At 40.9% G+C, this 25,127-nt stretch overlaps 1 protein-coding gene across 8 annotated transcripts in view, besides 1 other annotated feature; it reads left to right on the top strand.

The window, feature by feature from the left end:
• Positions 1-25,127, top strand: part of GLI3 (GLI family zinc finger 3) — a 303,320-nt gene that overhangs the window by 217,022 nt on the left and 61,171 nt on the right. For all 8 annotated transcript variants that reach the window (XM_047420208.1, XM_047420207.1, XM_047420205.1 and 5 more), the window contains 5 exons: positions 1,717-1,863; positions 7,008-7,209; positions 20,835-21,048; positions 21,870-21,983; positions 23,639-23,779. In XM_047420208.1, the coding sequence (XP_047276164.1) occupies positions 1,717-1,863; positions 7,008-7,209; positions 20,835-21,048; positions 21,870-21,983; positions 23,639-23,779 (818 nt within the window). The remainder of the gene's footprint in view (positions 1-1,716; positions 1,864-7,007; positions 7,210-20,834; positions 21,049-21,869; positions 21,984-23,638; positions 23,780-25,127) is intronic.
• Positions 17,549-18,049: an enhancer, noted in NCBI's record as "H3K4me1 hESC enhancer chr7:42068797-42069297 (GRCh37/hg19 assembly coordinates)". NCBI's record gives its function as "activates a minimal SCP1, AML or CMV promoter by ChIP-STARR-seq in primed H9 embryonic stem cells {active_cell/tissue: H9 hESC(primed)}" and the evidence as "EXISTENCE:reporter gene assay evidence [ECO:0000049][PMID:30033119]".

Here is a 25,127-nt window from a genome sequence, read left to right as displayed (position 1 = left end):
GTGCATTGAATTTACTGGTTAATAATAGTAATACAGGTAGCTAAAGAATAAGTTTTGCCCTTTGGGCAGGATTAACATTTTATTTTATTTTGAGAAAGGGTCTCACTTTGTTCCCCAGGCTGGAGTGCCTTGGTGCAATCTCAGCTCACTGTACCCCAGACCTGCTGGGTTCAAGTCATCTTCCTGTCTCAGCCCCCTAAGTAGCTGGGACCACTGGTGTGCACCACCACGCCTAGCTAATTTTTATATTTTTTGTAGAGACAGCGTTTCGCCATGTTGCCCATGCTGGTCTCAAACTCCTGAGCTCAAGCGATCTACCCACCTCTACCTCCCAAAGTGCTGGGATTACAGGCATGAGCCACTGTGCCTGGCCAAGATTCACATTTTAAAAATAAAAATCAAATATGAATTAGATTTTCTGCTTCAGATTTTATTTTGCACTTGAAGAACTGGAGAATCATCTCCTTCAAGTCCTTGGGAGTTGGTGGAAATGACTAACAAGGAGAATAGACTGAGGGAGAGAGGGAGGCTAGCTGACAATGGACTTGGAATTATGCCTGGCCTGCAGAAATTTATTCGGGCTAGTGGAAAGTCATACCACGAGTTAAACTACTGAAAGCACTCTTATCATCTGCTTTGTGTAGCATTTGATGACGAGTATATATATCACATTCTTTGACTGGTTCATTTGCCTTCCTTTTCTTGCCTCTCAAGAATCCAGTTAATATAATCAAATAAAGTAACATGATAAATATTTCCCTTGTGGCCTAAAGTTTTTTTCCTTAAATCTCTATCTTTACCATGTATCATGGATAAAAAGTATATGAAACAAATATAAAATACCCACAAACCTATCACTAGAGTGCTGGTATTTCTAGATAATAATCGTAAAACTTTTATTGATTGAATGCTATGTGCTAAGTGTGCTACATACATAATTTAATTTTTGCTCCTGACGACCTCATGGAGCCAGTTTAAATCCAGATCTCTATGAGTCTGGAGGCCACCCTCAGAACTGCTACAATGTCTTGCTGCTTTTGCACGAAAATTGGCAGGTGGAAACCGACTATTATCCTGTTAGAAAGCTGAGTCTTGGCAGTAAATTGCTCCAGATTGATAGGTATATTTTCTTTTTGATTTTGTAATGAAGAAAAGGAAAAGAGAGCTTTTAAATTATGGAATGTAAAATTGTAGCTTATCATTCAGTTGTGTTATTAAAGCTGTGCTGCCTTTTTTCATACTGGTAAACCCTGACTTTTCATGTGAGTGAGAGTTAACTCAGACACTCTTGTCAGAAAGCTTAGAAAAGTATTTTAAGTATGTCTGGAAAGATATCATAGTCTTCTAAGTTGTCTACTATTGTAAGAAATGCAAACATACAGTGATTTGATATAAAAATGATTTTATTTGGGGGGCAAATGTGGTTATGTACATATATACATTTTAATCATTCTGATTTGTTGATAATTTCTTAGACCAACAACAAAAACTTAGTAATGCATTTCACTTTTTTCTATTCCTTTCCTTCAGTTTTATTTTCAAATAAAAGATGTTTCATGGAAGTAAGAGCACAATTTGAGTTAAAGGAGCTTTACTCTAATAAGCCATAAAAGGAATTGCTGATGTGGGTTGTGTAATGGACTCTGAGATGCCTCAAGAGAAACTTCTAGTTGACCTTCTTTCGCTAGTAACCATACATCTCTTGTCTCCTCCTAGCGCCCCATGCAGGAGTCAGCCCAGCAGAATACTATCATCAGATGGCCCTGCTAACTGGCCAGCGCAGCCCCTATGCAGACATTATTCCCTCAGCTGCCACCGCCGGCACGGGGGCCATCCACATGGAATATCTTCATGCTATGGATAGTAAGTGACGGGGCTGGTTTCTAGAGTCTTGGGAAATGGCAAAGGCAACTTTATGAAACAGAGAAGAAGATACAAAGATTAGGTGATTGTGTAACTTTTTGATCTGGAGGAGAAAGTGGAACCACCACTATCTGGTGCTCTGGTTCCCTTCGTTTTCTAGAAGCTTCCACAGATTTGGACATCCTGAGACCCCCTGTTTAGCTCAAGGATACCAGTGAACTGACAGATGCAGGCAATTGTAATTGACAGCGATATATAAATATTAGCTGGTTAAAAAAAATCCCAGCCCAGGTGACATAGCGAGATCTATCTCTACAAAAAATTAAAAATTAGCTGGGTGTAGTGGCATGTACCTGTAGTCCCTGCTACTCAGGAGGCTGAGGCTGAAGGATCACTTGAGCCCAGGAGGTCGGTGTTGCAGTGAGTCTTGGTCACGCCACTGCACTCCAGCCTGGGTGACAGAGTGAGACCCTGTCTCCCCAAACCAAAAAAATTTTTTCCTGTCGTGATTGTCTTGATAACAAAATAAGGGGGAATGGATTTGATATATGGATGGACTTTGCCTCCCCACTCCTTGGTTTCATGGATTTTATGCTTTAAAAATTAATTTTAAAAAATACCTGTTTTAACAGGTTTTACATTTTTGCCTTAAATGATTGTTTGCCCCATATGTTTTCTTTACATTAAAAAAATTGTATTCCACTAAGACAGTTTGTAGCTGCTGAATATATGAAAGGATCAGAATAGTTATCAAGTTATCAATAGTTGCCAAATAGCTTATTTGGAAAAAATAAAAACTTTTTCCAAATCAGAAGGGACTACTTTTAGTACCTAGCAGTGGAATAAGGTGAGATTACTTGATGCATGTTGTATCACTTATTTTGGGGTCCCTTAGGTGTGTAATGATTTTTGTGGGTCACTTATGTAGACGCATAGACAAGTAAGCCTATAATTACCTCTCATCAGAGCATTCCAGAGCGCTCATCTCTTCAGATCCTTTAAGGACACATCCGTTTGCAAGGCGCTCTGAAGTGATCCTAAAGCATCATCCAAGTCATACATCAGCAAAAGCCACTACCTTTGAATAGGACAACAGTATGACTTTGAGTAGGGCCTTTGCTTAGCGTTTTGTTTGTTTTTCCTAGTAGCAGCAATTAACTTACACTTTTCCATTTACAATCTATTTGGATTCTTCTGTGACAGAGGGCGAGCATATGTCCTCTAGTTATTTAGTCCTGAGTCTCGGACTAGAAAGAAGGTGATTATTTCATACAGGGGTAAAAACTCTACAGCCTTAGTCTGCTTACCATCAAGAGCTACCTTTGTGTGTTTCATTGGAACACAAGATTCTGTTGGTTTCCACTGGGAAGCTCATTACTACATGGAAAGTAAAAGAAATGTGTTACGTCTTCTTCAGGCGTTCTGTTGTTTGGCTTTTTAGCATAGAGAGCTTACATTTCAGATTCATCATAACCACATTTCAATTAGCGATTGTTGAAAAAAAAGTTGTGTTATTATGCAAATCAGTTATTTAAAATCTGCAAATAAAGAATTAAAATAAGAGAGAATCCTTGGAAGGTCAGCCCGCATTACTTTCCCTATTTGATGAGAATGTGTTTAGTCAGGCAGTGGCGGTTTTTATCTAAATAAAGGATGAAGCTACCCTTTTACTTTGTAAAAACTAATTAAAGGAATTTTAATTTGCCTGAGTATATGGTAAATTGATTGTCATTAAGTAGGAATTTAGATGTCCTATCATTCATCACATAAAAATAAACCTCTTTTTTCTTTGTCAGAATTTCTTATTAGAATAGGGAAACAAAATAATTAACAGAAAGCCAGATCGGAGATATCTGTGTTAGAACAATAAGAATTCTCTGGCTTATATTTAAGAAGGAAGTGGTATGATCAGTGAAGAACTGGGCTACTTCTCTTTTGGCTGTTCTGAAAATGCTTACCTTGTATTTTAGCAGCTCCCTTCAACAGAGTATCCCAAATCACTGTCCCCAAATGCTGACTTTCTCTTCTTTTGCTTGTTTATTAAGGAGTTGGGAAGAACATATTAAAGGGCTGGAAAGTTCTTAAGGCACTATATTCTTTTCCTCTAAAGTAATTGAAGTAGCATTTATTAATAGTTATTTAGTTAGAATATAAGAAGATTGCCCAGAAATTTCCACCATAGGAGATTTTTTCCAACAAAGAAGCGAAACATTAATCCTAAATTTTTATAGTGGTTGTCCATCTGCAGTGGTAGATCGAAACCTGGGATCTATCTGGTCACTCTTCATCCCTTGTTACAGATATTTAGGACTTCTTAATTAACACAACCCTCAATAAACTGGGTTCAGGTAAGCACCTGACTTTTAAATAGTGGGCACGTCTAGGTTTCAGCAAGATGTAGGACAGAGTGTTTATATGTAGCTTGTTAGGATAAACTAGTCTGTTTATGGTCCCAATTCTACCTCTCAGTGTTGGAGTGACCTTAAAAGATGAGAACAAATACTCCCTATAAGGAACATTCTAGAGATGAGGGCCCCTGAAGACCACTATTTATATTGGTGGAAATAGACTTAAATAAGAGCCAGTCTTGGAGGGAAAAACACAGAGAGGAAAGGTTCCAGCCAGGCTATGAGCAAGCCAAAGGGTTTCATGGAAAGGGTGAAAAGGTCTTGAGAGGCCCCTCACCCTCTTTGGAGGATGTGAGAGTGATCTAAGGCTCCTAGGGTTTGAGAGCATCAAATGGGCTTCTTCCTTTTGCATCACAATTAGTGATCTAAAACATTAGAGATTTTCTAGGGATATATCCACGTCCTGTCTAGCATGTGCTGTCACTTCTAACTTTGCCAGTGATCACTGAGTACCATTGAGAAGGGCAATTATTGTCCAGGATTATATGGAAGTTGATAACAAATCTGGTTTGTCACTTGGAAGTGACATGTATTTCCTCATTGAAAAACTTCCATGATGAAATTAGCCTCTCATGGTGAGTAAATGTGAAGGAGTTGTGTTTAATAAGGCAGATGCCATTATAAAAGTAAGATGCTGATTTAAATGCCTTAAAAATATGCACAGGTGGGCGCAGTGGCTCACCCCTGTAATCCCAGCACTTTGGGAGGCCGAGACTGGCGGATCACAAGGTCAAGAGATCGAGACCATCCTGGCCAACACAGTGAAACCCCCGTCTCTGCTAAAAATAAAAAAAAATTATCCGGGCGTGGTGGTGTGTGTCTGTAGTCCCAGCTACTCGGGAGGCTAAGGCAGAAGAATCGCTTGAACTCGGGAGACAGAGTTGCAGTGAGCCGAGATCGTGCCACTGCACTCCAGCCTGGCAACAGAGCAAGACCACATCTCAAAAAAAAAAAAAAAAAAAGGAAATCGTTGGGATTGCTATTTTGTGCTAACATGCTCTAAATCAGGCTGGTAATGAAACTATTCTAAATGAAGGAACTCGTTTTAGTTGTGCCTGAAAGAAAAATTTGAGTAGGTACCACATTTATCATTCAAGTTGGTTTTTAAGTTTTATACGTGGATGGCACTAACTTAGTAAATTTCAGTTTGTGGATTTTTTTTCATTATTTCTATAGTATTGACAATGAAGTCATTCATATTTATCTATCCCATTTAATTAAATGATCTCTAAGCATGTTGGATTGTTATCTTGTATCAAGAACCATCTTTATTGAATAAAATATTCCCAAAGAATTTTCTGGAGACCAAGAGCCTGGACATTTTTTTTTAAATAAAGAAAGATTACCTGCTACTTCAGTTGTTCTGGGTACCGCAAAATTGCCATTTTCCTATAAACTGGTATACTCATTCTATGAGGTGTTAGAAACTCTTCATTTTACTTAAAACTAATCATGTTTTGTTTGCCTCCTACGTGGTGAGATTATGTTCTCATTCGTTCATTAAACTTTAGTTTGATGACTCTGTAATGTAAATATGACCTTCAAAAAGGCAGAATGGACCTGTGGGCCACATTCATCTCTGTGTCTTGAAGCTCACATCTCTAATATCTACCAAATTTGAATGCAAATTGGCATTTAATTTTGAACTCTTCAGGAAGAAACCATTGTATTAAGTTGGCATGCATTTAAGTTTGAGTTACTCACCTCCGGATTTGGACTCCAGGTTAAGACTCCATCAGTGGAATCTTCTTGAAGGTTAAAAATTCTAATAAATTTATTACCCCTTATTGGGTCTGACTAGAGAAACAAGGTCCAGAGAAGAGCTAAAATGCCCTATAGGTTCATTGTACCTCGTTATCATGCTCGTAAGGGTTTCTCCTCTGCCTTGGAAAATCTGTAAACAAGCAACATCCCCACCTTTTAAATGTTTCTTGGGATTTATCCTCTTATATGGGGAATGTAAGGCAGAGGTCCTCAACCTCGGTGACATTTGGGCCAGATAATTCTTTATTGTGGGGAGGGTGACCCTGAACATTATAGGGTGTTCTGCAGCATTCTTAGACTCTACCCTCTAGATTCCAGTAGCATCTGCTGAGTCCCGAAAACCAGAATGTCTTCAGATGTTGTCAGGTGTCCCTTGGGGGGCAAAATTGCTCTCAGTTGAGAAGCACTGATTCAGGGTAATTATGTAGAAGTTGTTTTAGTAATGCTTTAAGTATACCATAGAGCAGGTAACTCTAGAAATCACTGGGCACTGAGGGCATAACTGAGCTGAATTTTTAATCTTAGGATACTTTAATTCATTTCCTTCCTTTGGCTCATGACTTAAAATGGTGTGTGTTGGGGTGGGGAGGGTGGTATGTTGCCATTGTGGGAACCACTGTCTTTGTCGCTTGTGGTGAATTAATGATGGGAATATCTAAGCAGCCGTCAGATTCATAAATCACCAGAAATGAAAGGGATAACACATAAAAATCTCTCCCTTTTGTTTAGCAATTTATCATTTTCCCTGCACATTAATAAACAGAGCTCCCCCGAGGTAAGCCCCTGGAAGACAAATATTTCTCCCTAGTTTCCTCAACTGTAGCTAGTAGATCACATGGGGGAGGAGAGGTGCTTGTCACCGCAAGTTGCCAGCTTCTTATCCTTCACTTCTTCCACGTAGGCAAGTAGCAATAAATAGCTGGTATAGAGTCCAACTGCAGGTAATTAGGTTCTTTTTTGTTTATATAACAGGCACCAGATTCTCCAGCCCCAGGCTGTCAGCCAGGCCGAGCCGAAAACGTACACTGTCCATATCACCACTCTCCGATCATAGCTTTGACCTTCAGACCATGATAAGGACGTCTCCCAACTCCTTGGTCACGATTCTCAATAATTCCCGTAGCAGCTCTTCAGCAAGTGGCTCCTATGGTCACTTATCTGCAAGTGCAATCAGGTATGTATTTTCCTGAATCCATTATGTGTTTTTTAAATGTAATGTCAGCACTTGTTTGCACCTGTAGTGATGCATTTTCAGTACCAACTGCCTATGAGGAAGAATAAAAGTGCATGATGCTGTGCCTATACCAAGAGGCAGGTCAAATATCACAATGAATTGCAAAACCAGTTATTGGGCCCCAGATTATTTTGTGTTTGCAGACATTAGTCAATAGCCCCTATATAGAAATAGCAGTTATTGAGTTATGATGAAATCCACTTCGTAGAGACAGTAAGTAGGGCAAATCTTTTTATCCAGCCTTTTCCTTGTAATAATGTTCTCTAGAGGAAAACTGACTTCATACCTGGTTGTATGACACATGTACAGAACATGAACAAAAATAAAAAGACCAGTCATGGCAGAAGTCTTGTCCTACAACTCTGAAGAGAAAGGAGTCCATGGGAGGGAGAGAGAAACAGCAGGACTTTTCGTCTGATGGAAAATAAGTGCAGATGACATTGGAAAGCATAGATATCAGAGGAAATCTGGCAAAAGAATATTTCTTTGTTTTTCCATTAAGTATTTTTAGCTTAATCTGAAAGATCCCTATTTTGACCATACACCTTTGTTAACCGTGGATAGTTCCTTGCTTGACAGAAAGTGTTTTGACACTTCCTTCCATGAAGCACCTCATGTCTGTTTTTGCATGTGAAGGTACAAGCACAGACTTTTGTAAACATGATTAACATAAAATATTTCTTACTGCTAATGATCAACTTGGACTGATGTCAGTAAGTAGGGAATAAAAGTAAGCCAACATATGAATTTTAGGTGAATTACCTGATCATTTATTGTTTGAACTAAGCCAGCTCACAAATGGTTGAGACATAGAATTAGATAGTACTCTAATTAATTAATTTAGCAATCCTGGTTATAAACTTTAAACTCTCATTTCCCCTAAATTTTTTGCCAATAATTTAAGAATTCAGTTACTAGCAATCTTTTTGAATTGTAGTTTTGTTAATTGTGAATAATTCCTTGCTTGAAAAGTACATACTAACGGATGTTTTCACTAGCCTTTGTTTTAATAAGTGAGGTTTTGTTTGTTTCTATGAATGAGCGGTAGCGTTAGTTGTTCATTGATAGGTCTTCCATGGTAGATTACAATTAGGGAAACTTCATCAGTTCAGAAAAAAAAGTGTTTGCAGTAGCAAGATACCCACATTTAGTAAAAATAATGAATACTGTTGTCTTTCCCTAATGTTCTCCATTACAGTTTTAATTCTTGTTCAATTATCAGCAATGTTCTTCAGTAGGCAAGTTAATATTTAAATGTGGTAAATCCTAATTTTAATATGATGTCATTTTCCGCTGCTTTTCTTTGTTCTTTTCATATGGTCACTGAAGTGTGGAAACGTGGATAGCTGCAAGCAACTGTGATAGCAGTCAGTGCACAGGGAGGGGTCCTGGGGCACTTTCCAGATTAACCACTGTAGTTACAAATATAGGCTTTAGAGTTGGATATGTCTATGGTCAGATTCCAGCTTTGCCACCAACCAGCTATACAAACCTAACTTACCTCTCAGCTCTTTGAAGTTTAGTCTTCACATCTGTAAACTACAGATAAGACACCCTCTATACAGGAAGAATGCACATTTTACTAAAGCTGGTGTGGATCTGCAATGGCAGGATGAGATTCCTACCTGGGGTGAAGTTTCAGGGGGAGCTGAGCTGGGATGGTTCATCCAGGAGAGGAGCCATCCTGTGATGGCTGTCTATGCTACACTGCTCTCCATCCCAGTCTGGCCCCGAGGAAGCATGCCAGTCTCAGAACCCTGGCCTGGCTGCTCCTGCACTCCTGGCGAATATTCCTGGGTCATAGACTGACATGGACTGGAGGCGACTTTACTGCAATTGTGCAATTATTACATGGCATGACTAAAGTCATAGCATCCAAGTAGCAGAAATGTGGCACACAGTGATAGTCAGAAAGATAACACACAAAATCACTTCATGAACATTCACTTCTCTTGTTTCTCTTTACTTTTTCTTTCCTCTTGCTCTCTGCCCAGGTCTCTTGACTTTTTACAGCATCTAAAGGACATAGATTAGAATATGGTATAGAAATGGTCATGATGCTATCTTTATTTATTCCTACCCCAGCCTCCTTAGTCCTTACGGTCTCCTGGTCTCCTCATCTTCACCCAGGTAAGCTAGTGACAGTACTTAACAGACTGTCAATCTGCTGACTTGAAATCATCATTGCCCATTTCGTCTCCAAGGAGCTATACCACAACTCTTTATATCATTAGAGATGGAAGAAGAGATTCACTTAAAGACCAGTCAGGTCCTTGGAGGCTGTGACAGTTGGGTGCCTGGGCCCATTGTGTCCTCATTTTCTTTCTTGCCTTTGAGACTTTCGATTGCATCTTTTCTCTCTCAGTGCAATCTCTCCTTCTTTAGTACACATTTGCTGTATTTTAGGACTATATGTCTATTCTTACACAGAGCAGGTAATGCAGATAACCCAAGATGAGATCAGCTTCCCATATAATGATGATAATAATTGTTATCATTGGCACCACTTGCCAGTTCTTTAGCTGGAGGAGTGCTAGTGCCTTGCTTACTCCTGCTGTAAGTTTCATTTTCTGAGATCTAAAAACTGACTTCAGGAATAATCAGTTAGTGGTAGCACCAGAGGATCTGGGAAAGGAAAGAAGCAAGGAGACATCTAGAAAAGGTAACTAACTTTCTCAACAGCGAAAGGTACAGGAGAGAAAGTCGACTTCAGGTGCGTTTAGCCTCTGCGACATGCTGACTAACAGGGCAGGTGCACGGCTCATGCTCACTCACCGTTCTCACGTCACAGCTATTTGGCAAAGCAAGTGGTGTTATTATTATTATTATTTTTTTTTGAGACAGAGTTTCACTCTTTTGCCCAGGCTGGAGTGAAGTGGCACGATCTCGGCTCACTGTAACCTCTGCCTGCCAGGTTCAAGCGATTCTTCTGCCTCAGCCTCCCGATAGCTGGGATTATAGTGGCCCACCACTGTGCCCAGCTAATTTTTGTATTTTTAGTAGAGACTGGGTTTCACCATGTTGGCCAGCCTGGTCTCGAACTCCTGAACTCAGGCAACCCACCCGCCTTGGCATCCCAAAGTGTTAAGATTACAGGTGTGAGCCACCACACCTGGCCTTATTCTTGTTTTACACATAAGCCCAGTGGGTCTTTGCAAGATGAAGTTAGCAAAGTTCCGTGCCTGGTGGGCATCAGCACTAGCACTCCAGTTTCCTGCTTGTTAATTTACTCTAAACACACTTGACTTTCACACTTACATGTTTTCTAATACCTAATTTGCTGTTGGTATTGGCAGTGCATCAGTAATGATGTTTACATTTCTAAACATGTCATTAAATGTTTAAAGATACTCATTCAGTTTCTAAGAAATGCCATAGCTGTCTCCTTCACATCTATGCCCTAGTGCAAATGTGGTTAAAGACGCCTGTAATAGCATTTACCACTATTTGACGTTTCCATATTTTCTTTCTCCTTTAGTAGTCTGCTATCCATTTCTCTCCAATAGAACACAAGCACCAAAAAGCCAATCACTGTGTACCTCTTGTTTCAACCCCTGTGACACCTGCATTCTCTCATATTGATGCCATTCAGTAAATATTTCTTGAGTAAATAAATTAAGGAGCTCTCTCATGAGTAATTAGAATTCTCATCATCCCCTTATTAAAGTAAGTTTCTACATGGTGGATGAATAATTCTGGCTTTCTGAAAGTTGCAATCTGTATGAGTGTTATATTATTACATGGCCAGAGATTGATAGATACAGAGCCAGAGGGGTGAATAGAAAATAAAGGATTAAAAAAGCAAATGTCTATTTTAAGTTTGTGTGTGGTTCTTTTGTTTATATATTTACTTAATAATCCAGACTACTATAAAAATACCATATAAAACTAATATTTATTCACAAAAGCCCATTGACATATTATAACAGTACTTGATTATGTCAGATTTTTTAAAATGCATTGTCTAGACGTACCTGACAAGTCTTTTAAAATCTCATAATTAAATAGCTTTCAAAAATAACTCCATGCACATTGGAAAGTATGTTATAAAATATTGCATGTTTCAAGAAGTTGTGGCTTCTCCATCACCTGGAAGACTCCCCATCTAAGACTAGATAATTTATATTTATCAAATACAGCCAGTAACCCCCACTCTACATAGTTAAGGCTAACGTTGTAAATAGCCAGTGAATCACAGTAGGTTAAAATAGTGTACCTTTGCTAAAACCCTTCTCTCTAGGAAATTGGGCCACCACTGGAAGAGAAGGTGTTTAAAATGACCCCCTTCTTCTGTAGTCTTCCGGCAAATGTAAATGGGATGAAGAAATGAGTACTCTACGCATTTCTAACCCACTGGGTATCACTTTCTCACTTTCTATTTAATGGCTACAATGAAAGTGGTTTTATATTCTTAGTGGTTTTAATTCTGGTGTGACCAGGAAAGAGATCTCAGTGAAAATGACATTCCCATTTTGCACATCACCCCTCTGAGTGCCAAGATCTCCAGCGTCACAAAACAGTGCAATGTTTTTCTGTTGCCAACACTGATGAGCTCAGCCTGATGATGAGAGGGCAAGTTGTGCTTTCTGTTTCGTGGATCATCAGCCCTGTCTGACACTAGGACCCTGGAGTAAGGGTGCATCTGGCAGGTCCACTGATGCTGCCTGAGGCAGGGTGGAAGTCAGCTCGGCCTCCATAGCTCCTTGGCTCTGTGCTTAGTAAACACCTTGCTTATGTCAGAGAAATAACACACAAATGAATTGAGAAACATACTGACAAACAGATAAATACAGTGCCAAATTACCGACGTCTTTAAAATTCTCATTCTGTCTTCTAAAAATTTGGAGATGACATTCCCTTCCCCGATTTTCAGTAAAGTAGTTAATACTACCTTAAAAAGATAGCTCTCATTTACTTCCTTAAAAGTAATTAATATTACCTGAAGTGGTAGTTAGTTTTATATAGTATTTCATTTAATCAGTTATTAATTCCCCAAATATTTAGCTGAGCTTAACTCTGTGCTAGTCGCTGTACTGGGGGAATGGGGGCTACACAAATGCCTGAGAGAGACACGACCCCCACCTTCATGGAACTTACAGAAGGGAAAAGCCTCTAAGCATATTAATAAACGAATGAATGAGCAAAAGAGCTAGTGAGGGAACAAATGAATGAACAAAGGAGCAAAGGAGCTGGTAAGGGTTCTGGTCAGTGCTGTAAAGGAAATGACCCAGATGTTAAGAAAGAATAGCACCACGGGCCTAATTCAGCGGATTGGCCATTGACTTATAGGATGATGACAAGATACCCTGGAAAGCTTTCTACAAGTTTCTAAGAAGGAGGCCAAGCAGGTGAAGGCCCTGAGGTGGGAGGAGTAAGGCATTGGGGGAACTGTCAGCAGATGACAGTTAAACACGGGGCAGGTTAGCCAAAGCACAAGGTTGGCGACACAGGCAGGGTCCAAGTTATACCACAGCATCTTGGACCACATATCTAAGGACAATAGGAAGGGCCTAAGATCTGGGGCCTTAGATCTGGAAGAGCAGAAATCTAAGGGCCTTCCCTGGAGGCCCCCCACAAGGCTGTTTAATTTTACAGATAAGGAAACTGATGTTAAGAGAGGTTAGCAGACTGAATCAAAGGCACTCAGTTACTCACATGGCAGAACCACAAATTCAACCTGGTGGGTCGAACTCTGAGTGTTCACCAGACACACTTCTTTCTCTCTTAGAAATCCTCAAATGAGAGGCATGGTGAAAAGCATTGGCGGGAAATGCTATTTATAATAGAAATAATAATACCTGATGATATTTTGAAGAAACGGATTATGCATATATTAACATGATTTTTCTAACCACATCTAACATACCTGATGAGCCAGATCTCATGTAAGAGTGTGTTATTGCCATTCACGTTCATTGAGGTCATATCTATTTGGCTGCTTAATGGCAAGTAGCTTTTTAGCTTTTTAGATCAGTTTCATAATGTAAAACCTAATGTATTTTTCTCCAAAGCATTATTCAGAGAGCATATGCCTAAATGTAAATGTTGAGATACTTAAGAGCATGTGGGTCTTTGTGTACTCTACTTCTGAGGCTGGGCTGGGTTTCCAATAAACTTGCCCTGGAAACTTTTATAGATGGAAGTGGAAGCTTTATTTTTTTCCCTCTCAAATAGAAGCACATGTGTGCATGTGTGTCCCTACACATATACAAGTAATGATAGCTGTTGGCCCATTCTCTGCAAAACTGGAAAAAAAAAATGGTTCTTTGGATGGCAGCTGTTGTGCAGTGAATTCCACAGCTGTAACCAGAGTGAGGATGACCTCTTAGTGCAACAGTCACAAAGTAGCCAGGAAGTTTGGCTTGGCTTTGAATGTGTCTCTCTCCCCTCTCTTTTCTTGAAGTCAGTTTCTCACATTCTGGTACCATGTCATCTCAGTGGTTCCTGTTGCCTGACTTTACTTCCAATCTTGATTTCATGAGCAAAAGAATTAGGAGAGGTGGGATACTCATTGGATTCTTCTTCGGCCTGTAGTAAACTAGGTTTGTTGTAGCATGAAGTTTCTTAATTCCAGTGCCCTGACCTAAAGGAATACATCCTGATACTATCACATGAGTTTCTTTTAAGGATGTTGAAAAAATTCAAACCTGAATGAAATTTAACAACCAAAGCAATTGGAAGAAGTGTTTTATAGGTGGCGGGTAGACAGAGTTGATTTTACATTTACAAGACATTTCCCAAGAATCCAGAAGTGCCACATATTCATTACTCTTCACATTGGACTGAGAGCTGGCGCCTTTGTGATGGAGTGTGATTACCACTCACGCCAGGGCTTGCCTGTGGCTTAGTTCTCTAATGCATCACCTACCTGCCCAGCTCTGTGCACACCGCGCTGGGTCATTGAGAGATTTCAGAGATGAACCTGGAAACTGAAGAGCCTTCCTTTCTGCTCAGCTTCCTACATCCTCCTGTGCCCTTTCCCCACATATATCGTGTGCTGGTGCAGAAACCCTGGCACTGTGATTACATGGGAGTGAGATATTCCATGGCAACTCTAGGAAAAGCTGTTATGTTAGGGAAGGGTTAAGAATGTCCTGTGGATTGAAATCATCAAACAATAAAATAGTAGCTTTTACCTTTAAGTGTGTGGTGGCTGGATGATACGGCCTCTTGACATTTTTCGTACTTTCCTCTATTGTTTTCTTTATTTTTATATAAAAACAAATTTCTTGAATATTGTAATCAGCTCTTACTTACCATTCCAATTTAAAGGGCTACAGCAAGCCATATTATGCTGCTTTATTTATAGTACCATTGTTAAGGAATCCAGTATATCCCCAGCGCTCTGACCCTCCTGCCTTATATAGAATTCCTGAAGCATTTAAAAAACATAGGCTTTTCTCATATACTGTTTTAATTGGGTTTTATCCATTTGATTTGAATATTAATGACTTTGAAGTGCCTATATGTATAGTAGGGTAAATAAATGTTTAATGATTGATTTTCTACAATATGAACTCTGTGTTTCCATTTTATATATTATTTTGGGAATAAATATAAATTGTATTAGCAGAATGGATCACAAGGGTTTCTGTACAAATGTTGACTTACATCACTTCCTTGGTGTGAAAAAAATAAATATTTATTGTGAAAGCCAAACATGATTATGTATTTCCAGGTTTAATGTATTAATTATAAATTATATGTAACTTTCTGGTTACAAATAATTTTTTTTTTCTTTGGCAATATAAATGGGATTTGTATAAAGTACTCAGTTAAAACTTGCTGAATTAATGAATGAGATGCAGTGTGTAGACTTTAGGACATTTATTTTGGTTGCTTAGCAGTTTTCCTTTTACCTGTACTCTGTTTAGCCCTATTGGGTATAGTTTTTGAGATTCCCAGAAGGGAGACTTCCATGTAAGTGAGGTGTTACTGTGCTGTTTACTGTAATGCTAAGAAACAAGAACCAGTTTGCAAACTTTGATCACACTTTTTAAGAGTATTGACAAAACTTTATATGTCTGATTTCTGATGTATATCTACATCAGAACTTTCTTAAAGATTCAGACTTTGATAATTTTATTTTGAAGTCTTCGTAAAATAGAAAAAATGGTTCCCAGTCAGACAACGGTTTGTTAATCACTTTTAACTGAGCTCAGAGCTGAATATGGAGATGAAACTGACTGAGAAATTATCCTTATTTAGACCCTGCATCCAGTGGAATGCCCTTTCAAACTAACAATCCAGTGACCATACACCTGCTCTGGTTAGTAAGCTATCTAACAACCACATTTTTCTCCTTGTCTGCTCTTCAGTAAAATAAAGGGCAAATTAACTTTTAAATTAATTTATTCTGGCTTTATAATTGTTGCCCTAGAAGAATGTTTCTCAAAGTGTATTGTGAGGAACACTGGTCTCTGGAAGCTCCTCCACATCCTGCTGCCACCTGTATCTGGGGTGGACATTAGGAATGCACAGAGAAACAGGCCTGGGCTGTATTCCTAAGAGTTTGATGACCTTGGTACTTCTTTCTCTTTCTCTCCATTACACTTACTCACCTCAGGAGGCCTCTGACTGTGTTAGCACGTTGCTTGGGAAGATCTGGGCCATCTAACACTTTCTTTCTACTGATCTTATTGACTAAATATAGATTAACAGTTACAGGTCACATTTTTATAAATGTTTGTTGTTATTGTCTTAAATTACCCCATCTTTCATATAGTTATTTAGAAACAAAAGCTATAAAAGTAATTTTAGAAATAATAACAGATTAATTGTTGAATGCAGAGAATTCAGAATCAGAATGTAAAATTAATTTCTGGTGACTCATTGGAAAGAGTGGGGTGAACAGAAACATGGAGGCTATGAGGATGGGAAGCACAGGTACCAAGGTTTAGACTGTAGATTATGTCCTGCTCTAGAGAAGGTATAAGAGATTATTAACAATTTCAACTATGCCTGGGTGTGGTGGCTCATGCCTGTAATCCCAGCACCTTGGGAGGCCGAGGCGGCCGGATCACTTGAGGTCAGGAGTTCAAGACTAGCCTGGCCAACATGGTGAAACCCCATCTCTACTAAAAATACAAAAATTAGCTGGGCATGGTGGTGCATGCCTGTAATCCCAGCTGCTCGGGAGGCTGAGGCAGGAGAATCGCTTGAACCTGGGAGGCGGAGGTTTCAGTGAGCTGAGATCGTGCCACTGCACTCCAGCCTGGGAGACAGAACGAGTCTCCATCTCAAAAAAAAAACAAGAAACAAAAAAACAAAAAAAAAAAAAACAAATCAACAATAGTAATAATTTCTATTTGTAGGAAATTGTGGAATGAATACATGAACTATTTAGGAAGGTTCTTATTCAGGGCCCCTAAAAATAGAATTTACCTTCTGTTTTTAATTCTGATATCTTTAATCAGCAAAGTCTGTCCTGTGCCATTGAAGTGCTGCAGAAAGAAATGGATGTAGACACTAGCTTCGTTTGTGTAATACTGCTTTACAGACATGTTGTCAAATTGTAGTTTTCAGAGGAAAACATAGTTTTCTTTGAGGTGACTCTTTTGAGTGTGGTAGGCAGGATAACGGCCCCAAAGATGTCCACATCCTAATCCCCAGGACCTGTGAATAGGTTACCTTCCATGCCAGAACGACTTTTGCAGGTGTGATTAAGCTAAGGATCTTGAGATGAGAAGATGATCCTCGATTATCCGGGTGGCAGTGATGTAATCACAGGGTCCCCTGTGAGAGGGAAGCAGGAGAGGCAAGTTAGGGTCAGAGGAGGAGGAGGAGGAGGCCTGAGTGATGTGGACCCCTGAGCCAAGGAATGTGGGCAGCCTCCAGGTAATGGAACAGGCAGGGAGCCTAGACCGTCTGGAATAATGCAGCCCCGCCGGCCTATTGCAGACTTCTGACTTCCAGAACTGTAAGGTAATAAACAGTGTCTGTTTTTTTAAGCCACTCAGTTTGGGCTGTTTGTTGCAGCAGCAACAGGGAACTAATAGACACTGAAGAATGGATTCAGTCACTCATTGACTCAGTACTGCGTGTCTGCTCTGCCAGGCACACTGCCCGGCCCAGCTGGACCTTGCCTCCTAGACAGAGAGACAGAAAGAGTTTTAGAGAGTACTGCGTGCTGCCATGAGAATAGAATTGTCACGCAGTAGAAAACGATGGGGCAAGGAGGTGCAGAGGGGCCTCGTTTTGATGGGGCATGAGTCTAAGAAGGCCCCTCTGAGGAGGTGACATTTAAGCTGGAACGTGAATGTAAAAAAGGAAGTGGCCATTGTGAGCTCTGGAAGCCAAGGGTTCCAGGCAGGGGACACTGTGAGTGCTGAAGATGCAGAGGGACTCATGCTGTGACAGGAGGCAAAAGGATGCAGGACTCCCCTCCTCCACGGCCCTCCCCACCTTGATTTAAAGGAGGAGGCTGTGGTGGCTCAGGTTTTCTTATCCCCCTAGTGGGAAAACCTCAGGAGAATCTTTTCATACCTTGATCTTGCCCAAGAGAGTTGAGGGTATGCGTGGGAGGCATCCTTTCTCATGGGCATTTTGTCTGCGACTCTTGACATCCGTTTGCTGTGCCCAGTCATCGCCCGTCCTCTGCCCCAGCACTCTGATGGCAGTGTTCTGAGAGCAGAGGAGCCTTGACTCCCAAATCTGTTAAGTGATACTGTGTCAGAGCTGAGAACTTTCTACTTTTGTCATCAAATTCTAAATTGGCTTTGTCATCTGGAGTGGAGCAGCCTTCCTGCGCACAGTCCCTGGCAGGAGCAGCAGCAGAAGGTCGAGGGCCAGCCCTTCTGGGTCCAGACAAGCTGTCCCATACCCTGCCCTGGCCCAGGTCTGTGCACGAGGAGGAGGAGAATGTTTCTGTTGCTGGCTTCTTATGAATAAGCACTGAAGGCTCAGGATCACCGTCCACTGTGTGTTCCCTCATAGCCCTTGCAGTCTAATTGTTGATGTGGATTTTAGAGAACATTTATTCCCGTCACCTGGTTTTACCAGCAAAAAGGTGGAGGCCCTGAATGGGGATATGGCCAAAGTATGTGAAGAGCTTTCAGAACCCCTACCCCTGCTCCCCGAGGACAAGGAGGATCGTAGACCTAGGAAACTGCGGTGGGAATGCTGAGTCTTATCTTTTGTAAGGATATCTCCTACATCTTTTTATTTCTTTATTTTTATTTATTATTATTATTATTATTATTATTATTTATTTTTGAGACGGAGTCTTGCTCTGTCACCCAGGCTGGAGTGCAGTGGCGCGATCTTGGCTCACCGCAACCTCCGCCTCTCCAGTTCAAGTGATTCTCCTGCCTCAGACTCTCGAGCAGCTGGGATTACAGGTGCATGCCATCACGCCTGGCTAATTTTTGTATTTTTAGTAGAAACGAGGTTTCGCCATGTTGGTCAGGCTTGTCTCGAACTCCTGACCTCAGGTGACCCACCCGCCTCAACCTCCCAAAGTGCTGGGATTACAGGCGTGAGCCACCGCGCCCGGCCTCCTACATCTTTTTTAAAATGCACTTCCCTTATCCGTCTGTGAATGCTTTTGAGTTGCTTTTGTATAAAATCAAGGGCATGTTTTCTGAATGGTCTCTATTTTTAATTAAGTACTGATTTTTTAAGCCCCCAAATGTCGTGTCTCCCAGAATTAGAAGTATAAATGACCTTCAGGGACCCTCTTTCAACTCTGCCAGATAGTCTAGGCTCCTAGAACCCTGGAAAGGTGTTTGGAGATACATGCAAAGTCGGTGTGCCATGGTAATTATATGTGAAGTGGGTTATTTTGGTTTTTGTTTATTTAATGAATAGAATAACGTAGTTACACTTAGTAATACTCATTCACCCAAAGGAAGGGGGGCTGTTAAATCATTGTGTTTTTTGATGAATGGCTTGTACACTGAAAAATAAATTGGACAAACTGGCATAGAGCTCAGTGAACATGAAATCAGCTATTAGAAGAAAGCTTGTGAACAAATTCTGAGGCAGATATGCATCTTTTGATTAATGCCCTATCAATCATCCACACAGCTACCTTAGCTAAGTCTTGCCATAATCATTCATGCTTGCTTTTGGAAACACTGGCAGTAACTATAACGCTGCAGAAACGGAATATTATTACTGATTTCTCCCTAACTTACTGTGAACAATGACTGTTTTCACCACGTTTCTGCTTTCCTTTATTAAGGAAATACAATGTAGAATGAAAGGAGAGTTTCTCAAAGCCTGGTGAAATTCTCCTAGGGTATTCTTAATGATATTCAGTCTTAAATGGGCAAGCTATTGTAATGTAAGGTTCTCTGCAGGAATGATAGTAATGTAATCCCATTGAAGCTGCCTGTTATGGATTGTAGTCAAATAGGCAAAATGTAGAGTCACATTAATGAACAGAGTATATCTTTGGAATTATTACTTAAAGTTGTTGAAATGGTTTGAATTTTGCTATTGTAATTATTTTATTCTCCTTTAATGCGCTTAATAGCCATAGTAATTAACCCACCAGATTGGAAATTTGCATGAGTTCTAACTTTGACATTACAAGAAACCCTGATTCTTTCTGGGTATTACACAGCAGGACAGGGAGAAATACATACATATATATATATAAATATTTTTTTCACTGATTATTTTTTTAAAAAGAAATTTCCATGAATGCAATTATTAGTTTTTCATGCATTTTTAAGCCATTGGCAAATTCCTTAAGAACACTCCATTCTTTTAAGAGGATTTGATTCCAGAACCACACTGGCACAAAGAATGATTTGGCATTGCCTGCTAGTCGAGAAATCTTTAGGTATTATCACTGCTTCCTCAGGACTTACTGTAGCCTGGGAAATAGTGTGGCATAATAAAGTGGTGACAGTCATTAGCATGCATAATGGGCTTTAATAGACATTAAATGCTGTTTAGCTAGAAGAGGGAGCAGTGCTCTCCCACTGGAATATTCCTCCATCGAAGCCCATTGATCACTGATTTCAGCGGGGAGAGGTTAATCCATCAGCTTCTGTAACCAGACGGCACTGATGGAAATTCTTTAGGTGGCATTCTGGATGAACCAAGCTTTCCATCTTTACAAACAAATGAGTGATATGACAAGCATGGTGTTCAAAACACATTTAACCAATTGATTTTCTTTCCTCTTGTAATAAGATCTGGAGACATATGAAAGCGTGCAGTGTGAGCTAAGATTAAAGGAATTGCTCCATGCACAGGAACATACGGAACTAAGAGCCAATAAAAGTCCTATAAAGCATGTAGTCACCCATTCTCTTTTTATATAAAGTTTGTTATTGCAATAAATAGTTATTATTGAACTGATGCCTTTTATTTCCGTTTTTGCAGAATCTTGTTTTAGGTCTGCGTGTATGTGTGCACACACATGTGTGTCTCATCTCAGTGTTCATCTTTCTCTTAGAAGTTTTCAAGATGCTTGGCAATAATCCTACCTTCTCATTTAAACAAATTTGATTTGGGATGGTAAAATTATAGATAGAAAGCTGCAGATCTTGTGTACTTGTCTGAGCTCAGCGTTTAAGTGATGATCGTCTTTTTTTATCTCCCCCGTGCAGCCCTGCCTTGAGCTTCACCTACTCTTCCGCGCCCGTCTCTCTCCACATGCATCAGCAGATCCTAAGCCGACAACAGAGCTTAGGTTCAGCCTTTGGACACAGCCCTCCACTCATCCACCCTGCCCCAACTTTTCCAACACAGAGGCCTATTCCAGGGATCCCTACGGTTCTGAACCCCGTCCAGGTCAGCTCCGGCCCTTCTGAGTCCTCACAGGTGAGAGGGACAGGTCGATGCACCCGGCCGTGCTGGTCAGCCGAGGGTGGGGGCAGGCCACCACGTCAGCTGTTAATCAACACGGCACCTCTGTGTTCTCACAGCCTCTGTACTAGCATCCTGTCTTCTTAATGCTGAGGTCTAGTCTTCAGTTTTGGTGGACGTGTTGTGTAAATGCTTCTCATCAAACAGTTTTTTCCCCCAGGGTCATTTTCCCATGGGCATAGCAGCAGGCTGCTTGATAAGGCTTCACTGTGACCTGGTGCCATCTGTAACCTGCATCCCATGTCAGTGCAGCATGTGGATGCATTGCTCTCATTTGGTCACTGTTCACTCCCTCCGCTAGAACCACAGTTGCGACTTACCACCAGGTGGTACTTTAGAGTAAGACTAAAACTGTGCTTTGCCCTGCGTTAACTGTTGCCACTTTGATATTGTTTGGAGAAGAATCTGGTTGCTCTAATTAAAGAACTTCACAAATGGAACGTGTTGGTCTTCTACCCTCCTCACAACTTTGTTCTTTTGAAATACCCTGTTGGAGCTTGTTAAAGCCTAGGGCCTCAGCTCCATTCTTCTAGCTTTTAAAAGCCATAGGGAGTTTATACTCACGAGTTAAAAATGAAGAGCTGCCGCATGAACGTATTTTCTAGCTTTGAACATACTATCTGAACTCTGCTTACACTGGGATTGGAGAATTATCAGAGTCATTGCTTTATAGCCAAATAAGACCGCTTGTCCCGAGTTGGCAAGGTTTTAATTATGGTACTGCTCCTTGTTGATGAAAATCTTTTTGTCTCTGGCTCTGCAAATGTGACCAGCAGAACAAGCCCACGAGTGAGTCTGCAGTGAGCAGCACTGGTGACCCGATGCACAACAAGAGGTCCAAGATCAAACCCGATGAAGACCTCCCCAGCCCAGGGGCTCGGGGGCAGCAGGTAGGACACCGAGGCCGCACAGGCCAGCGCCCACTCCTCCCAAGACTGGTGTCTTTGGGTCAGCTCCCGCTTCCTCCCCAGACCTGGTGTCTTTTTCACGGCAGTTCCTTGTCCACTGCATTGTTGACCTTGGCCGTACTCTACATGTTGTACAAAAGGCTAGATATGGAGTGACTAAATCATTTTTCTAGCTCAGAAGCAAACACAGGCAGTGCAGGAAGCCATGCGGGACATACCTTCTTGATAGTTTAGGCAGCTTGGGAGTATTGGCAACTGTAGTTCGTAGAGGAAATGGTTGCATTAATTTGTTGCTGGCCACAGGTGCGACCAGGCCTCAGTCCTCATCTGTGATTTTGGGCCTGAATTATTGAGCTCCTGGACCCAAGCCTGAGCTGTGGCGGATCTACTGATGGCTCCTATATCATTTTTTCTTATTTTGCTACTTCCCACTTTCTAGGAGAGCCTGGCGAACCAGAAGGGATGAAAACATAACTAACCTAAGGCTAGTTGGATTCTGGCACTCAGCCTAAAATTCTGAAAGGAAGAGTGTAGGATTTCAATCCGGACTCCGCCTCTAGTCACTTAAATTCTCTGGGCCTCAGTTTAAGGATGTGTAGGTTATACCCATAATATCATCTCATAGGGCTCTCAGCCTGATGCAGGAAGGAGCTCTATGAATGCTAATTCCCCACCATAGAGATTGGACAAGAGTCCAGATGTCCACAGAATCTGGACCTTGCTGTCATCAGGCTGCTTCAGCCCAAACCTCAGACTGCTTGCCCAAATTTCCTTTTCAGCAAGAACGTGGAGGCTGGAGTAAATTGTGTCACGGGCTCTGAAATGGATCTTTCCTCTTGCATATCGCCAGACAGCAACAACCTTGCTGGTTACACTTCAATGCCTGCATATGGCTTTTATCATCTAGCCCTGGATTGGGACCTGAATCTACACAAGATGAATTCTCAAAATGACTTGTATTGGCATTGCTGTGAAGCTGCCACAGGGGTTTAGGAAGGACTGTGCCCCTGAGCTTTGATGCTGTGGCCCCTGGGCCCTGGGTAGTGAGCATATCCTTAGAGATCAGAGGTTGAATCGAGAGGGCATTATCCCTATAAAGTCTACAAAAGTGTCTCACACAGTCTCCAACAGCAGCGAAAACAGCATTAGAAGTACTAGTAAACCATTTCCCTGGATTACAAAATATAAGAATAAACAAAGTAACAGACCAAAAATAATTAAAACAACTAAACAAAATAGAAGTACCAATCTTTTGGGTAAAGACCTGATTTGATTTATTCTCTTATGAGCTTTGTTTTGTTTTTTGTTTGTTTGTTTTACGTTTTGTTTTGGGTTTTTTTTTAGATGACATTTGGGTTTATTTTCAGCTTTGTAATCAGGGCAGCAAAGTTTGACCTCAACTTTTAATTCATAATTTTGACAGGCTGTTGCCTTGAATCAGACGTTTAAAACTCTCAGAGTGTATTTGGTAAATCTGAAAATATGCACAGATATGATTTTATTGTTTGACTTCTTCACTTCACAAAACCCTAGACCCAAATCTAAATTGGGTTTTTACTTTCTCTTCTTGTCTTCCCTCCTGTTGTGTCTGATTCTTCCCCCTTCTCTGTTCCCTGCCCCCCACCCTCTTCTTTCAGGAACAGCCCGAAGGAACAACCCTTGTCAAGGAGGAAGGGGACAAAGATGAAAGCAAACAGGAGCCTGAAGTCATCTATGAGACAAACTGCCACTGGGAAGGCTGCGCGAGGGAGTTCGACACCCAAGAGCAGCTTGTGCACGTAAGTGGATGGTATTCAGGAACCGAGCTTTACAGCTCTGTGACACTTTCCAGGGAGGTCAGCCTCTCTGACCCTGAGCTGAGTCAAGTTTCTTAGGAGCCGCATTGCGAACTGGAGAGGGCTTTATGACTTTCTGAGAATAAAGAAAACTCGGAGCCACGGTGCTTGACCTGTTCAGTCAGCTAAAGCTGAGTGTAAAATTCAATAAAGTCTTCAATAGAGAGTGTAATGACTCTGATCCTGTAAGCCAGAAAACACTATTTTGAGTTAGCGACTTTGATGGTTATTGAGTAATAGTAAGCTGGACATGAATTATGATTAACCTTTTAAACAAGTTTGATTCCCCTTCCAAGACCCGGTAACAATGGAAAAAATGTGGAGATGAGGGATTTCTTTTTTCCTCTCCCAAACTCTCAAAGCCTAAGGAAGCTCCCGTTCTTTTAAGCTGCAGTTAGTACTCTATATGAGCTAGGTAGCATAATTTCTTGGTTTGAGGCCAGCCCTTGTGGGGTTAGTAGTTTCATGGAAAAAGTTGTAAGTGTTTTTAAATGTATTTAGTGATGGATGTTTTGGAAACTGCAGCATGGTCAGATTGAGAACCACACCTCCTCTCCCAAACCAGGTTCAGAAATTTTTACACACTCTCCTGCATATCATTTCAAAAAATGCAGTGTGCACAAAGCCTTCTCCCCACCCCATGCCTGATTTGTGATACCCCCTTCCCAGTGCTTCACTGTTCTTGGCACTTTCTTGAAGGCCAGTGGAGTTTTCCCTGGAAAATGGGACCAGGATTGGCTGACGTGGAGGGCATTTAGATGATCGAGAATAAAAAGATGCAGGTGCTACAACTCCTGGCAGAAGCACAGGGTCTTGTTGAGGCATTAAGTGTGGCAGTTTTTTAAACTTTTAATATGAAAAATTGGACAAAGTAGCATTTGTTGCGATTCCCCTCCTCCTGCTCTCTCTCTTTTTCTCTTTCTCTCTCCACTTTCTCTTTCGTGGTACATTCTTTTTTTTACAGTAACTGTATTTTTAGGCAATTCATGTTTCTTGATAACCCTCCTCCATTTAGATTAAACACTAAAATTATGAAGTCCCTCTTACATCCCACACGTTTCATAGGCAGTGTGAACTTTTAATGTGTGTCTCTTGCAACTCGGCGCATCCCATGTAATGTATTCCACGCATTGCAGTTACATTATAGTGTTAAGCACGCAGGTTGCCAGATTTTGAGCTCTGTTCTATACAGAATGTTTTGAGGATTTTACATGACATCGCCAGGGTCCCTCCCCTCCATTTCTTTTTAAATCATGTCTCCTGGTAATTGTATGGGAAGAATTATAGATTT

Source organism: Homo sapiens, chromosome 7, assembly GCF_000001405.40.
Source record: "Homo sapiens chromosome 7, GRCh38.p14 Primary Assembly".
In the NCBI taxonomy this organism is placed as follows: domain Eukaryota; kingdom Metazoa; phylum Chordata; class Mammalia; order Primates; family Hominidae; genus Homo; species Homo sapiens.
Note: the sequence above shows the minus strand (reverse complement) of the source record. Positions and strands in the feature narration are given on the sequence as shown.